The sequence below is a fragment of the Homo sapiens genome, chromosome 13 (assembly GCF_000001405.40).
Source record: "Homo sapiens chromosome 13, GRCh38.p14 Primary Assembly".
Taxonomy (NCBI): Eukaryota; Metazoa; Chordata; class Mammalia; order Primates; family Hominidae; genus Homo; species Homo sapiens.
Window position 1 is genome coordinate 75,307,008 of NC_000013.11, and position 15,119 is coordinate 75,322,126.

At 36.0% G+C, this 15,119-nt stretch overlaps 1 protein-coding gene across 11 annotated transcripts in view, besides 1 other annotated feature; it reads right to left on the bottom strand.

Annotated features, from left to right (window-relative positions):
* Nucleotides 1–15,119, bottom strand: part of TBC1D4 (TBC1 domain family member 4) — a 198,667-nt gene that overhangs the window by 23,505 nt on the left and 160,043 nt on the right. For 7 of the 11 annotated variants that reach the window (XM_047430811.1, XM_047430810.1, XM_047430809.1 and 4 more), the window contains 2 exons: nucleotides 5,731–5,891; nucleotides 2,935–3,144 (listed from right to left, as the gene is read on the bottom strand). In XM_047430811.1, the coding sequence (XP_047286767.1) occupies nucleotides 2,935–3,144; nucleotides 5,731–5,891 (371 nt within the window). Of the gene's footprint in view, nucleotides 1–2,934; nucleotides 3,145–5,730; nucleotides 5,892–13,006; nucleotides 13,031–15,119 lie in introns of all 11 variants that reach the window. The other 4 variants (XM_011535331.3, XM_005266603.3, NM_014832.5 and 1 more) reach the window with 1 other exon arrangement.
* Nucleotides 3,584–3,643: an enhancer, noted in NCBI's record as "active region_7821". NCBI's record gives its function as "activates an Ori minimal core promoter by ATAC-STARR-seq in GM12878 lymphoblastoid cells {active_cell/tissue: GM12878}" and the evidence as "EXISTENCE:reporter gene assay evidence [ECO:0000049][PMID:35858748]".

Consider the following 15,119-nt stretch of genomic DNA (forward strand, 5'->3'; position numbering starts at 1 on the left):
TACCCCAAGCTGGAGTGCAGTGGTGCAATCATAGCTCACTGCAGCCTCAACCTCCTGAGCTCCCATCTCAGCCTCCTGGGTAGCTAGGACTACAGGCATGCGCCACTACACTTGGCTAATTTGACAAACTTTTTTGTAAAGATGGGGTCTTGCTATGCTGCCCAGGCTGGTCTTAAACTCCTGGCCTCAAGCAATCCTCCTACCTCAGCCTCCCAAAGAGCTGGGATAACAGGTGTGAGCCACTGCACCCAGCCCTCCTGTGTTCATTTGTAATAAACTTAAAAAGAAAAATTCCTTTCACTGAAGTTAACACTAATTCTATTTTTAAAATAATATAGAGTTCTCTCTAATTTGATGGTCTAACATATCCGCCCAGAGCTCATTAAAAGAAATGTCTATAAAAGCAACCAGTATCTTGATTTGTTCTTTATCATGAAAAACTGATTTCAAAAGAGAAGGAAGAGCAGACACAAGAGTATACTTCTTCTCTTCATTAGGATCACGGTGGACAGGAACATCTCAGAGCAATCTGTATTCATGCATGCTCACAGCGCTCGGCCACCTTACCTCCTGCAACACAAATCTTTGTCATGCATCCCAAGTCCTCGACAGCACAAAAACAACAGCAGAATGAAAGTTACTCTTTACTTAGTGTGTTTGAAACCATTTCAAAAGACTTAAAATATCTTATAACAAACTGTTATTCAAGCAAGGCAGTAAAAATTCCTACTTAAAAGTCCAAACATAATCTAAAGATAAATCACAGTACAAAACTATTCCTTCCGGATACCACAGATGGCTTTCTAACACTGTCTAGCTTGGCTGTTTGGCTATTTGCTTTATATTTCTCTGATAACCAAGTAATTTTTTAAAAGGTGTGGCTTTATTAAGGCTAAAAACAAATATACTCCTATATATAACTTTACTAATTATTTTCTTCATGATGGACAAAACATAATTACTTCCTTAGAGTTTTTCTCTAATCTTCTCTAGATTATTGATCATTTAAAATAATCACGAGCATCTGCTTATGTGCCAGCCGCACACCCTGAGGATAAAATGGTGAACAGGGACAGTTAATATCTGCCCTTAACTGTTTAACTAGAAAAGACTAAAGAACTATCAAGAAATAATTATCCATTGGTTAGAATTTTCATAGGTTAAACTATTTTTTATCTTTGTTATGTAGGCAGAGAAACAGAGAACCGATGAAGGTTTCTGAGAATGTATTCTAAATGTCACCTCCTTTCTTAACCTGTAAAATCATATAGTATAACTGATCTCAGAATACACAGCAGCCATTTATGTAAAACATTCCATTTCCTTATATTAACATACACAGCTGAGAAATACTGTGGGGTGCTGGGGAAAGCCCGAGAACCACGATGAATAAACCTGAGTTTTGGTACTTGCTCTGCCAGTATGTCACTATTTGACCTTAGGTTAATTCTCTACCTTTCCCAAGCCAGTCACTACTTCTACTGTAGAATGAAGAATCTAGCTAAGTAATCTCTAAGGCTATTTCTACTTCAAATAGTCTATGATTCTGAAACCACCTTTTGATATTTAATATCAGATTTTATTTGTACATACTCCCAAGTGAAATACAGTTTCATGCATTAAATTTTTTGAGGAAAGGATGACCACCTTTTTTTCAACCTCTTTTTCTGAGTTAGTTCAAAATATAACTACTTGCTTACAAATATGAATTCAATTTCTTTTGAAGCCTGCGAAACCTCAAGTGGGCAGACCATTTATCAAACTGAACTTTTAAAATTATGCTAACGACAAGTAATAGCATTTTTAATTTTGAAGAAAAGAAGATGTATTTCCAAAGGATATTTAAAATCCTATGTACTTTTCACTCTGCTAACAGCGATTTTAAAAAATGTGCTCTTGCAAACTATATATTGTTAAAATAAAAAAATTAAATTGAATCATAGGTGTAGTAACAAGAATCTTAAGGTAGATGATAAAGTCAGAAATGTGGAATACCTATACTAAAAAAGCTGTATGAAAGACCACAAAATAAAGGCAAGTGAGAGAAATATCTAAATTATACTTGTGCCAATAATCTTAAAAGTCAAACGGACCACTTATGTTAAATGTTTCATTTTACAAGTGTAAAAATGAGACCCTTTCAGGTTAAGTGATTTTCCCAAAATAATGAAATTTATACATTTTTTTGGATTTCTTAGCATCTCCTTGTATGTGGTTCTATCAGTACTGGAGTAAATTATATCATTCTTTCAAAGGCTGAAAAACACATTCCAAAGCATTTGGTAATCATAATCTTAGCAATAAGGCACCACAAACAGTACAAAATCTATTATAAATTATTTGATTATAAATATAATGATTTGAATACGACTTTGTTAAATAGAAAATTTATAAAGCATTAACAAAAAATAGGAATAGGTTTGGCTTGATAACAGATAATTATAATTAAATAGTTAAATTGAATACAATGTAAGTAGGATTTACTTGAGGTAGGCATATTTCTCCCATTATGAATGTAATTAACCTGAAACTTGAAAATCACATTCAAAGAAAAGAAAATTTGCTTTCTCATATTTAAGGATTTTTTAGAAGTGACACTAAGATAATGAACTTTCAGACACATCAAATACATTGATTCCATATTATCTACATTCTATTTTACCTAAATATACTCTAAGAGTTTCTTAAGTCTTAAATCTATTTAAAATGCAAACCCATTTAAAACAAAACCACAAATATCTTAAGCTGACCTTTCCCATGTTATAACCACCTCACAAAATGGAAATCAACAATTATAATCAGTAGGTATTCTTCTTAAAGTGTGCATACAGTCCAAAACTGAGTGCGGATAGTATGTATGGGGAGAGAAAGGTAGGTTTAACATACACCCTTCAATCATAGCATCATAGCATTTAGTCTGTTAAAATGGCTAACCTTCAAGTTTCTGGTTTTCTTTTTCCATTCGAAGTAACAAGATTTGTTGGTGTATAGCTTTTCTCCACAAGCTCCTCAGTTCTTTTGATTTCTTTCTTTCTTCAATCTTTTCTGGGTCATCCTCCCCAGACAGGAATACAACCAGCGGTTCCTCCTCCATGGTTGGAGAGAGGGGGGACAGTGGCAGCAGCTCGTTCCTGTCCAATCCATCTGCAGAGAAGAACACAGTGAGAGGCATTCCTTAGCAGTAACCCAGACTACCCAAGTTTCTGTAGAATTCACATTCTCATCTGATCTTCTACACTTAAAAATGTCACAAAGCCGCTTTCCCTGTAACTTAGTTTCTGCAGCTAATATTTAAGTAAATTCACTAGACTGAATTCCCCTTCCAGATTTCCCTGTCATGATGAAACAGAAGCATAGGTCATTTCACCACTTCTTCTTTCCACCCAAAGAGCTCTGTAAGAGAGGTGCCCCAAAACTAACTGGCCTCTCCTGAGTCCAACACTTCTGCAATTTACTTACGTATATTCTCTGGCTGTGAGGAACGAGATTAAGTGGCTAGGTATCAGTGATCTCCGAAGGTCTACATCGATCATCAGAATCCGTCAGGAGCATAGCCACTGAGCAATGCTGGGCCTCTCCTGGCTGAGCACAGTACTCCCTCTGCTCATTCCTCCTGCAACACCTTTTTCTTTTTCTTTTTCAATTTTTATTTTAGGTTGAAGGGGTCCATGTGCAGGTTTGCTACATGGGTAAATTACGTGACTCTGGGGTACAATGTACAAATGAAATGACTTCGCCACCCAGGTAGTGAGCACAGTACCTGAGAGGTAGTTTTTCAATCCTCATCCTCCTCCCACCCTCCACCCTCAAGGGGGTCCCGGTGTCTAATGTTCCCTTCTTTGTTTCTATGTGTACTCAATGTTTAGATCCCGCTTATAAGTGAGAACATGCAGTATTTGGTTTTCTGCTCCTGTGTTAATTCTTAGGATAATAACCTCCAGCTACATCCATGTGGCTCCAAAGGACATGATTTCATTATTTTTCATGGCTGTGCAGTATTCCATGTGCAACACTCCCTTAACAGGTGACTCATTCTCTCCCTTCCTACTGCCAATGATTTTCCTATTAACAACCATAATCACATCTCTTAAAACATTTCAATGGTTGCTTATATCGCAAGAACAAATTGGGACTAGCATTTAAGTTCCTTCAGATTCTGGTCTCCACTCAGATTTCCAGCCTCATATCTCAATCTTCTATTCTTTGCATTCATCATGCTGAATTTCTCATGATTCTCTGATCTGCAAAGTTCACTCAAATGACTCCAGAGCTTCGTCATTCCTTCCTTCTAAAGCATGGTTCTTCCAGCAACGAGTTTAAATAAACATCTAATTGTTCTGTGAAGCTTTTTCTGACCACCTCGGGCAGAGTTAACTTCATCTTTAGTAATACCAGTTGTTTTCTTCTATTTTCTTCTTTTTTTATATATATTCATTGACCTCTGCCTTTACTTTTATTATTTACTTCCATACGTTTTACTGTTGTTGTTTTAAAATTTTAATACCTGGCTCTCTTACTAGCTTTTTGAGTTGAACACTCAGTGTAACTAATTTTTGGCCTTCTTGATTTTATATCAATATATTCATGGCTTTTAACTGCTCCCTAGATCCGTTTCAATAGGTAAGGCTCTAAGCATTGAATTTTCTTCCTTCTAGCTTCTAAGAGTAGTTTTCTATTCCCAAACACATGTCATTCTACTTGTCTTCTAATCCTTGATTTCTTTCTTTTTTTGGCATTGTGGTCAGAGAATATTTGTATAAATGATTATGATTATTTGGATTTCAAAAAGATTTACTTAAAAATCTTTGTGGACAGGTACATAATTACATTTTATGAATGTTCCAAGTGTGCTAAAAATGAATGAGTTTTCTCCATAGGAGGCGAAGTTCTCTATAAATATTAGGTCAAGCTTATTTATTTGTGTTACTCAAATATTATTTATATTTAATTTCTAAAGATGAGTATGTTAAAATCTCCCACAGGAGCTATTAATTTATCGATTTCACTCCAGAATTCTTTTAGGTGTTATTTTCTAGCTCTCAAAGCTACATCATTATGTATGTTCTCATGATTGTTCTATCTGTTTGTTTACTGTTACATGTGCTTGCCTCTTTGGATGCTTTTGCTTTAGTTTAATAGGTCAATTACTCAAAGAGAGCTGCCTGTGCTCTCTTTTGCTCAGTATTTGCCTAGTATATTGTATATATTCCTTTATTGCTCAATATTTCTATGTCAGTTTGTTTTATGTGTGGCTCTTATAAAAGGCTATGTTGCTTTTCTAATAATAAAAAGATCTTTGGAAGCTGAGGTAAGATGATTGCTTGAGCCCAGGAGTTCAAGGCTACAGTGAGCTATGATTACACCACTGCAACCCCAGCCTGGGCAACAGAGCAAGGCCCAATCTCTGGGAAAAAAAAAAAGAAAGAAAGAAAGAAAGAAAGAAAAAGGACATACAGCTTCTTTCCTAGCACTATCACAGTTCCGTCTACCTTGTGGAGTAGGCCCAAGTACAGGTTTTTGGAAACTGTCTCACTCATTCATTCATTCAACAAGCAGGTATTGAATGCCTAATGTTTTCTAATGATACCTGAAAGAGAAACCACTGTATCACATACAGAAAGATATTTCTACACTGTAATCACTTAAATCTCTTTATACACAGCACGTGCATTCCATTAGCTAATTTCTGACACTCAGAGGGATAAATTCCTTAGGGAGTGCAACACAGACCTTGCTGTTGCATTGCTGAGGGAGATTTGTTCATGGGAGAAGCAACCCTGAGGAAAATGCGCTGCCGCCAGGAGATCCGGCGAGGAGTGACAGAGGTTCCTCCCACACTTAGGGACTCATTGCTGCAGGTAGATGAGGTCCTTTTTCTCCCTTCTCCATCACTGTTGAAAGCAAATAAACATATCACTTATAAGGAGAGCTGCACATCATGGCACTTCACAACCAACTGGTAGCACAAGCCATTCACAAGTTCTGTCACGGGCAAGCACAAGCCACAGGCAACATGGAGCAATGCATCACCAGGCACACTAGTCACCCAGGCCACCACATCCTGGGGAAACAGCAATCTAGGCCACAGCCCAGTCAAGAGAAGCTCCCCTGTTTCTACTCATTCCTTAGCAGCCAACCAGTCCTAGTTCTAATCTGAGGAACAGAAGCACTTATAAGGAGGAGTACAGGTTGCTTAAGTCATGAATTCATGCTTTGCTAAGGAAATAACATGAATAGCTTATTTGAAACAAGGTAAATATTCCATAAAAGCCTCACAAAGAGCTTTTGTTAGAGCTCTTATAGAACAGGTCAATAAAGACTGTTTCTAATTGCCTACGACTGTTAAGATGTGTCTCTGAATGGTCAGCTACCAACAGTTGAATCATGGCAGATGATAACCTGAATATAAGCAGAACAGTCAACCTTGGGATTATTGGTAGGTGATATACTAAGAAAAAACTGGGGTCAAATAAGATTGGATGGCTAAGTTAAAAAATAGATCTTTTTATATTTTTATTGACATTTATTTTGTGAGATAAGGTCTCATTTTTTCACCCAGGCTGGAGCGCAGTGGCGCAATCACAGCTCATTGCAGCCTCGACCTCCCAGGCTCAAGAGATCCTCCCACCTCAGCCTCCCAAGCAGCTGGGACTACAGGTGCACACCGCCACACCTGGCTATTTTTTTAAAAAAATCTTCGTAGAGACCGGGTCCCATTGTGTTGTCCAGTCTGGTCTCAAACTCCTGCACTCAAGCAATTCTCCTGTCTCAGCTCCCAAAGTGCTGGGATTACAGGCATGAGGCACCACACCCAGCCTGTTAAAAAATGTTAACAGATTTCTTTATAGCAGTACTTGTTAGAGACTGTTAATACACTGGCATGCACTGTACCTCTCCAACAGGGAAACAGTGTATAGAAATTCCCCAACTTATTGAAATTAATTGATTCTAGAATCACCTCCCTCAATTTTTGGGGGACAGGGAGTAGTGTCACATCATTCTATATTAGTGCATAAGAAAATGCTCCTCTATTGTCAAAATTTCATTTCCTAAAAAAGACCACTTTGAGTTATGCTAGGCCTATCTGCAAAAAAAGGTCGGTATGACTCAAAATCATTTTTGAGACCAATTATATTTGCTGCTGGAAGACCTCACAATAATTGTTGCTGTTAGTGGCAGGAATATCTTACATTTTTAAGTTTCACAGTCTGAGTTTGCCTGAGAGAACAATAAGGATACCAATATTTACAGGTGATGATACCAACAAATGAAGGTATAAGACTTTTGATGGAATCAAAAGGTCAGTGCTGAGGTCAGAAATAAAGCTCAGACAGAACAGCCACTCTCAGATACTCAAAGGAACTCAATAGTGTTGAGGCAATTAATAGTGAGAAGAGCAATTCAGCATCTGCCTATCGTATCTTTATTTACTCAGGCAATTCAGTTCATTCTAGTCTGGATCTATTTTATGGAAACATTACTTCTGGATTGGCTAAATTAAAGTTAAAAAAAAGACTTCTGAGCTGCTATGCAGAGAGTAAGTATTATGACGTGATACTTTAGAAAGTACAGTACTTGATACATATATCTCAATATAGTCAAACTCTGGTTATTATGCATCCTGGATAACACTATAACCCTAATATGTGTCCATTGTTCAAAACTCCTGAGGCAGTGGCCAGGCACGGTGGCTCACCACCTGTAAACCCAGCACTTTGGGAGGCCGAGGCAGGCGGATCACCTGAGGTCAGGAGTTCAAGAGTAGCATGGCCAACATGGTGAAACCCTGTCTCAACTAAAAATACAAAAAAAAAAAAAAAAATTAGCTGGGCATTAGTGACAGGTGCCTGTAATCCCAGTTGCTTGGGAGGCTGAGGCACAAGGTTCTCTTGAACCCGGGAGGCAGAGGTTGCAGTGAGCCGAGAATGCACCACTGCATTTCAGCCTGGGCAACAGAGCGAGGCTCCATGTCAAAATAAAATTATAATTAAATTTTTTTTTTAGAAAAACTCCCTGAGGCTGGGCACAATGGCTTACATCTGTAATTCCAGCAGTTTGGGAGGCCGAGGCAGGCAGATCACTTGAGGTCAAGAGTTTGAGACCAGCCTGGCCAACATGGGCAAAATCCTGTCTCTACTGAAAATACAAAAATTAGCCAGGTGTGGTGGTGCACACCTGTAATCCCAGCTACTCAGGAGGCTGAGGTGGGAGAATCGCTTGAACCCAGGAGGCAAAGGTTGCAGTGAGCCGAGATCGCATCCCTGCACTCCTGCCTGAGCAACAGGGCAAGACTCTGTCCCAAAAAACAAAACAAAACAAAACAAAAAACCTTCCTGAATATTGAATATATATATATATATATACACACACACACACACACATATATATATACACACATATATATATATATACACACACATATATATATATATATTTGCTTTTACTTGCACTTTGGAAAACATTAATGCAAGTATTTCCCTTTTAAAAATATGATTCAAATGTTCTATATATAATAGTTACAACCCAATAAATACAGTTGAAGTACTCATTATCTTCATTTTTGTAACACGACCTTGATGGCAGTTATTTGCTAAATGCCCAGTTCATAGGTATATTTCTAGCTTGTAGTGTAGTAACAGGTAAATAATAAGCACTGAATAATATCTACTGAATAAATTAATATTTTATAAAACTAAATGAAATATTAACTCAGAAGTTTAAGTGAAACAGACAAAAATACTGGCTAGGCTAACATGTCAGGAATAAATAAAAGATCTACCTTCTTAAAACCCTTTATTGGGAGTCAAGTCCTAATAGCTTTGTTTTTCTAAAGTATGTTCTGAACTGTTGATGGCACTGGTAGGTATTGACCATGACAATGTTGTTAATAAACAACAAAAAGCATATTTTTTCTAGTAAGTGTTATTCCTTTCCTACATAAAGCCATCTAATTTATACTTTAAGCTTTGAAAGCTAAATGAAATACTTATTTAAAAGCACTATGTCAATGCTCCACAGGGCAAAAGATCAACAAATATTAATTTAGCTTGACTTTTTTAGTGCTCTAACAAACCAGAGTTGACCAAATCAGAGGACTCCGAAATGTTTATATTTTAATGCTGGAATTAAAACAGCTTTTAAGAATCACCTTCCAATTCACTGCTAATGACATATCAAGTGTTTAGAACGTACTAAAAATAAAACTGAGTTGTACCCATATCAGTTTCATGATTGCCTATAAAATACAAAGTTTTGGGGGCAATATGTTATAAAAGAGGCGCATACAGTATTTACATTAGCCCACTGATATTCAAAAATTTCATAAACCTAAAATTTTAAATCCTATAATATAAACTGCCCAATGACAAATTTTTCTCCCATGTCTGGAATTTACTGACTAGTAATAAGCCAAAAAATTAGCAGTCAAAATAGAAGATAATAATATACTGAAAAGAAGAACTTACATAACAAACCATTGACCCTTTATCTTGTACTAAAAATCGACATCTTGAAAAAGTAGTTGGTTGCTGAGATATGGCAAAAGCAGCTCTGCTTTTAATAAGAGAAGATCTGTATTCAGAAGTCAAGTTCCCAATAAACATTTAAGCAGTCAGTGCTATTATGCAACTTATAGCAGTTTCCTGTTTGATTTACTTTTAGTCAGCAATCTGACATTCTTAAGGTGGCAATTGCAAGAATCAAAACCAAATGAAACACTGCATCAAAATTCCTATAACCCAACTTGGAAACTACACTGGGATGGGGGTGGAGGGAGTTTATTTCTTTTGGTTTGTTTGTTTGTTTTTATTACAACATTAGTTATCACATTAACTTTTCCTTTGATTAAACTTAGGTAAGAAAGCATAATGTCTACTTTTTGAGTAAAAACAAAAATAAAACAACACGTGGTGTTTACTGTAATAATAATAAAGCTAAGACTCTCAGCACATACTTCATGCCAGGTATCGATTGTTCTAAACATTTTACGAGTATGAATTAATTTCATCCTCACAGCAACCTTGCAAGGTAGATGTCATTACTACTTCCATTTTTGGTGCAATACTGAAGTAGAAAGAGGCTAAGTAACTTGCCCACAGTCACACGGATAATAAAGTGAAGGAACCAGGATGCAAACCTAGGTGGTCCAGAATCCAGCATTAGGCACTGCAGCTGATCCTGCCAGTGTAAATACTCCTTGCATTAGTTCTGAACAAAGCTCTATAGGACCACAAAAACAAAGCTGTTGGGACCCCCAGGATCCTCTGCATTTCTGGTGAAAAATTAAGTCTCCAATTAGCACTAAGCCTTTTGATTGGGTACTTCTCTTTCCATTTTTTAATGGATTAATTTTATATCAACAGAGAAATAACTTCAGAGTACTATCAGGTGCTCGTTTATGTAAATGTCTCACTTCCTTTTCTTTGCTTTGAAATAATTACATTCCAAAATGTATACACTTTTAACTGTAAATAGAAGGACCAAATAAAAAAACACCTAAATATAGTTGAATATACATACACTGGTATTTTAATCATCTTTACATTTCTTAAATGATGAAGCAAGTTATAACCATTCCCTTATGTTTCCATAGAATTTTTTCCTTCTTCTTTTGTATTTTGGAATCTAAGCATGTGTATTATAAAACTCCTTCCCAAGATACATATTCAGGAAAAGTATTCTGTGCCAGCATTACCTCTATCAGAAATTGACAAAGTTAAAAAATGAATATCTAGGAAGGAAACATAACTTGGAGAACTCCCACCCATTTTTGACTGGTATATTGTATATATACTCCCTCTTACCACTCACCAGTTAATTAAGAACCACAGTTTGTGAACACAAATTCAGACTTCATATGGGGAGAAAATGTCCCGTATTACATATATCCCCCAATATAGGGTAGGAAGGCTATTTCCAAGTCCTTTGTATATAGGATCCATCAAATGCTATAATATGAACTTGTCAAAGCTTCAAGATAATCTTTTAACATATCCTTGAACAAGCAGTTATAGTCTTCACCAGATCAACTCTTAAATTAACATCCCACTTCTTATTTTAACATAGAATTGTAATGTCTACTTGCCTGCTTTAAAAGAATTCATTGACTATTGTACAGAATGGAGATGCTCTAATGACCACTCACAGAGACTCAACTTTAAGAAGGATGTAGTCATATTTTACTTCCTGCCAGGGCAACACAGATATACTTTGCACAAAGGCAAACTCTTCTGTCAGGACCAGTCTTGCAAAGGTGGTGTTATACTGAGCAGCAACCTGCCTCCTATCCCCCAACCCTCTGGCACCCAGTTGAAACTCCCAGCATCTGCACTTCAGCCTGAATGACACAGCAAGACTCTATCTCTGAAGTCCAAATAAATGACAAAACACTGTCTAAATCTGTATCTAAATCACAATGAATTCAACATAAGATAGATACCAAAACTTCATTAGTGTGATAGCAACTATTGAACCGAAAGCTGAAAAAGCTTTCTCTTTGTAAGCCTTAAGAAATGCTAAGTAAAACAATTTCATTTCATAGAAATGAAACCATATTTTTTCTACAGGATCCACAGTATAATTTAACTCATAATTGCATCAGGTGCACTAACAGTTTATATAGGTTCTGGCTTTTAACTGCATACATGTCTGTTATCCTATGGAAAATCTTTACTAATTAAGTAAAATTGAGATTAAACTATTCTAGTGGAAATCAATATATAGTATTTGACCTATGAGTCAAAAGAGATAGATTAGTCAGTGGAACAACGTGTAGATGAAAGAAGCAGAAAAACAAAGAGTTTTATTTCCTAAACTCTACACACTGCAGATTTTAAGAAAATAAGTTTAGTATATTGGAATTTAAAACATCTCTGGGTATCTCATATGTTTATTTATATCCTTATGACCTAAGCTGAAAAAAAATCAAGCAAAATATAAAACCTTTTTGGAGTTCAATCTATCCATGTGTAAAATAAGGAAATCATAGACTAGATTAACTCTAAAGTAATAAACAGAGCTAATTCCATACCTAAAAGGACACAAGGCAGAACTAACATTTCCATTAGGCTTTTAAGAATAGGTAAGAAGTATTATTTAAATGGTCTTACACCTAACCATGACTGAGACTTGCCAATTACCAGTCTCAAAAAAGTCACTTTTTAATCTTATAATTGTTGCTAAAATAATTTTCTGAGGATTTTTTCTCCTTGAACATCTCAGTCTAGTGCGATACTTAATATTATATTTTCACTCTAGCTACAAAGAAATCTAAATAGTGGCCCCAAATAGGAAGATGGGCATGTATCTTTTTCACTGGGCTCATGATAAAAGCAACATGTAGAAACTGGAATAAAGCAGAGGACAGTTATTTGCAGTGGTTGTTAGCAGTGATTCTAGATGTTCACCACAAAAAAAGCATGTGAGTCAAGAGATGTCAACACAGATGTGGTCAAACTTCCATAATAAGGAACTAGGTGTTTCCTGTGTCCAGACAAATGGGAGGTCTGAACGGCTTTAGCAGTGTCTCAAAGTGACCAACGTGACAGGAATTTAGGTGAACAGAAATAGACGAATAATCCTCTTCAGTTGAAAGGCAGATTCAATTTTGTGAGTACGTTTCTTTTAGGATGCTCATTTCTGCATCTTCTTGGCATTTGGAATAAACTCCACTTAGGCACATATGTACCCCCTAACTAGCAAATCCACTTCTATTAATTTAAAATTAAAATTAGGCTTTGGTTGAAGGCCACAGCACAGCTCTAAGGAAATTTCAGCATGGAATAGAGTAGAAACAGGATTTCTGTCTGCAATCAACATTTTACATGGTAATTCATGGTCTTTGATTACACCAAGGGTCACATTTTCCCTACTATATAGCCCTCAGAGCACTCAGAAAGATGGCATGCATTCAGGAGACAAACAAAACTGCTTTTTAAACTAAGGATGATGTTCAGTTGGAAGAATCTGTGAATTTTTTTTAAATAAAAATACGTAGACCTCTAATCACCTTGATTCTGAAGCAGTGTCTTGTCTGGTACAACAGGAAAACAAGGAATGGAATTAGCACACACAAATATGTCCAAATCAGGATTCAGGATAAAAGGCATTCCAATAAGTCATCAATAAGTCATGGTAAGGTTACTTCAATAATGAACCACAATGAATAATTATACCTTTTTTTTTCACTGAATACAAGAGAAATATAGAACAAAAACTATACCACAAAGTACTTCATCATCAAAGATTTTATTTTCTCATTGAAAAGTTTTATCAGTGAATAGAAGTAGTATCTATCATTTACTTTTTTTTGACTGTCATTTACTTCTGAGCAATGAATTTCAACATAAATAAATTTTTAAGCACAGGCTTAAAACCTGAGAAGCACTGTAAAAAGTAACAAATATGTCTGTGATAATATTTAATAAGCAGATGTTATAAAAATTACCATAACATTATATAAAATTATAGTTTACTAAACAATGAAATAACATTAAATTTTGAAAAATTAATTCAAAGTGAGGTAAAAGAAAAAATACACACATTCCCTCTCCTCTATCATTTCAGTTATGTGCAAATAAATCTACTAACCAACTATTAAAAAGATCTTGGCTCCTTTTTCTCAGCCTGCTTAAAAATAGTAACCTGTTTTCAGTAATTCAGGATAGTGGTCCTGGAAATGGATGCCTAATCTGAATTTAAAATTTCAAAATAATGTGCTTTTAAAAAAGTAATAGTAGGCTGGGCGCGGTGCTCATGCCTGTAATCCCAGCACTTTGGGAGGCTGAGGCGGGCGGATCACGAGGTCAGGAGATCAAGGTCATCCTGGCTAACACGGTGAAACCCCGTCTCTACTAAAAATACAAAAAAAAAAAAAAAAAAAAAAATTAGCCGGGCATGGTGGCGGGCGCCTGTAGTCCCAGCTACTCAGGAGGCTGAGGCAGGAAAATGGCGTGAACCCGGGAGGCGGAGCTTGCAGTGAGCTGAGATTGAGCCACTGCACTCCAGCCCGGGCGACACAGCAAGACTCCATCTCAAAAAAAAAAAAAAAGTAATGGTATTGTTAGCGTATCTCCTACCCTACCCTATTCCCTACTTGACTATGCATATTTAGAGATTCATTTTATGCAACTAATAAGATATTAAGTATTCAACTGACAAGAAAATTATAACTGATAGTACTATGAACCTTCTCCCCTCACTATTCTGAATAGTTCCAGATATCATAGTAATTATGTGTACATGATATCCTCTCTAAAACAAGTGATAATGAGAATGTAGAGTTCAGAAACCACTGGGTTTCAGAAACCATGCTCTTGAATTGAATATCCTTTTTCTTAGGAAATACACCCTAAAGTATTAAGAGTAAACGGACACGATGCATGCAACTTATTCACAAATGGCTTAGAATGAGGAAATATAGCGGTGCATATATATGTATATATATATGTAAATGGACCAAAAATTATAAAACAAATGTAGCAAAATATAAAAAGTTGATTAACCTGGATAAAGGGTTAACAGGAATCCTCTGTGATATTTCTGCAACTTTAGTATAAATTTGAAATTGTTTCAAAATACAAATTAAAAATTCTCCAATCTTCTAACTTGAACATTTATGTTGAAGTGACTTACTAGTTCAGATAAACCTATTAAGAGAGCATTTTGTCCAACAATTTTACTACCGTGTAGATATTCATCAATAATTCATATGTAGGTACAATTAAAGACATGTATAATAATAGTGAAGACAGGACTCTTTTTGAAGCCAAAAACCTAGAAATAACCCATATGTCTACTCACAAGAGAATGGAAAAATTGAGATATATTAAATGGAATACTAAATAGCAATAAAATGAATGAAATAAAATGCTCATTAAAAGAGGAATTAAATCTCACAAACGAATGTCAGTGAAAGATGTGAGATAAAAGAATATAGGCTGTATCATTCCATTTATACAAAGTTCAAAGCCAAGCACCACTAATCTAAGATATCTGAGGTCAGCATGGGGATGGTGATTAGATGGGGGACATGGGAGAAGTTGCAGGCATGCTGCTAGCATTCCATTTATTGACTGGGGTGAAGAGAAATAGTGGTGTTCACTCTGTGATAATCCATTGAG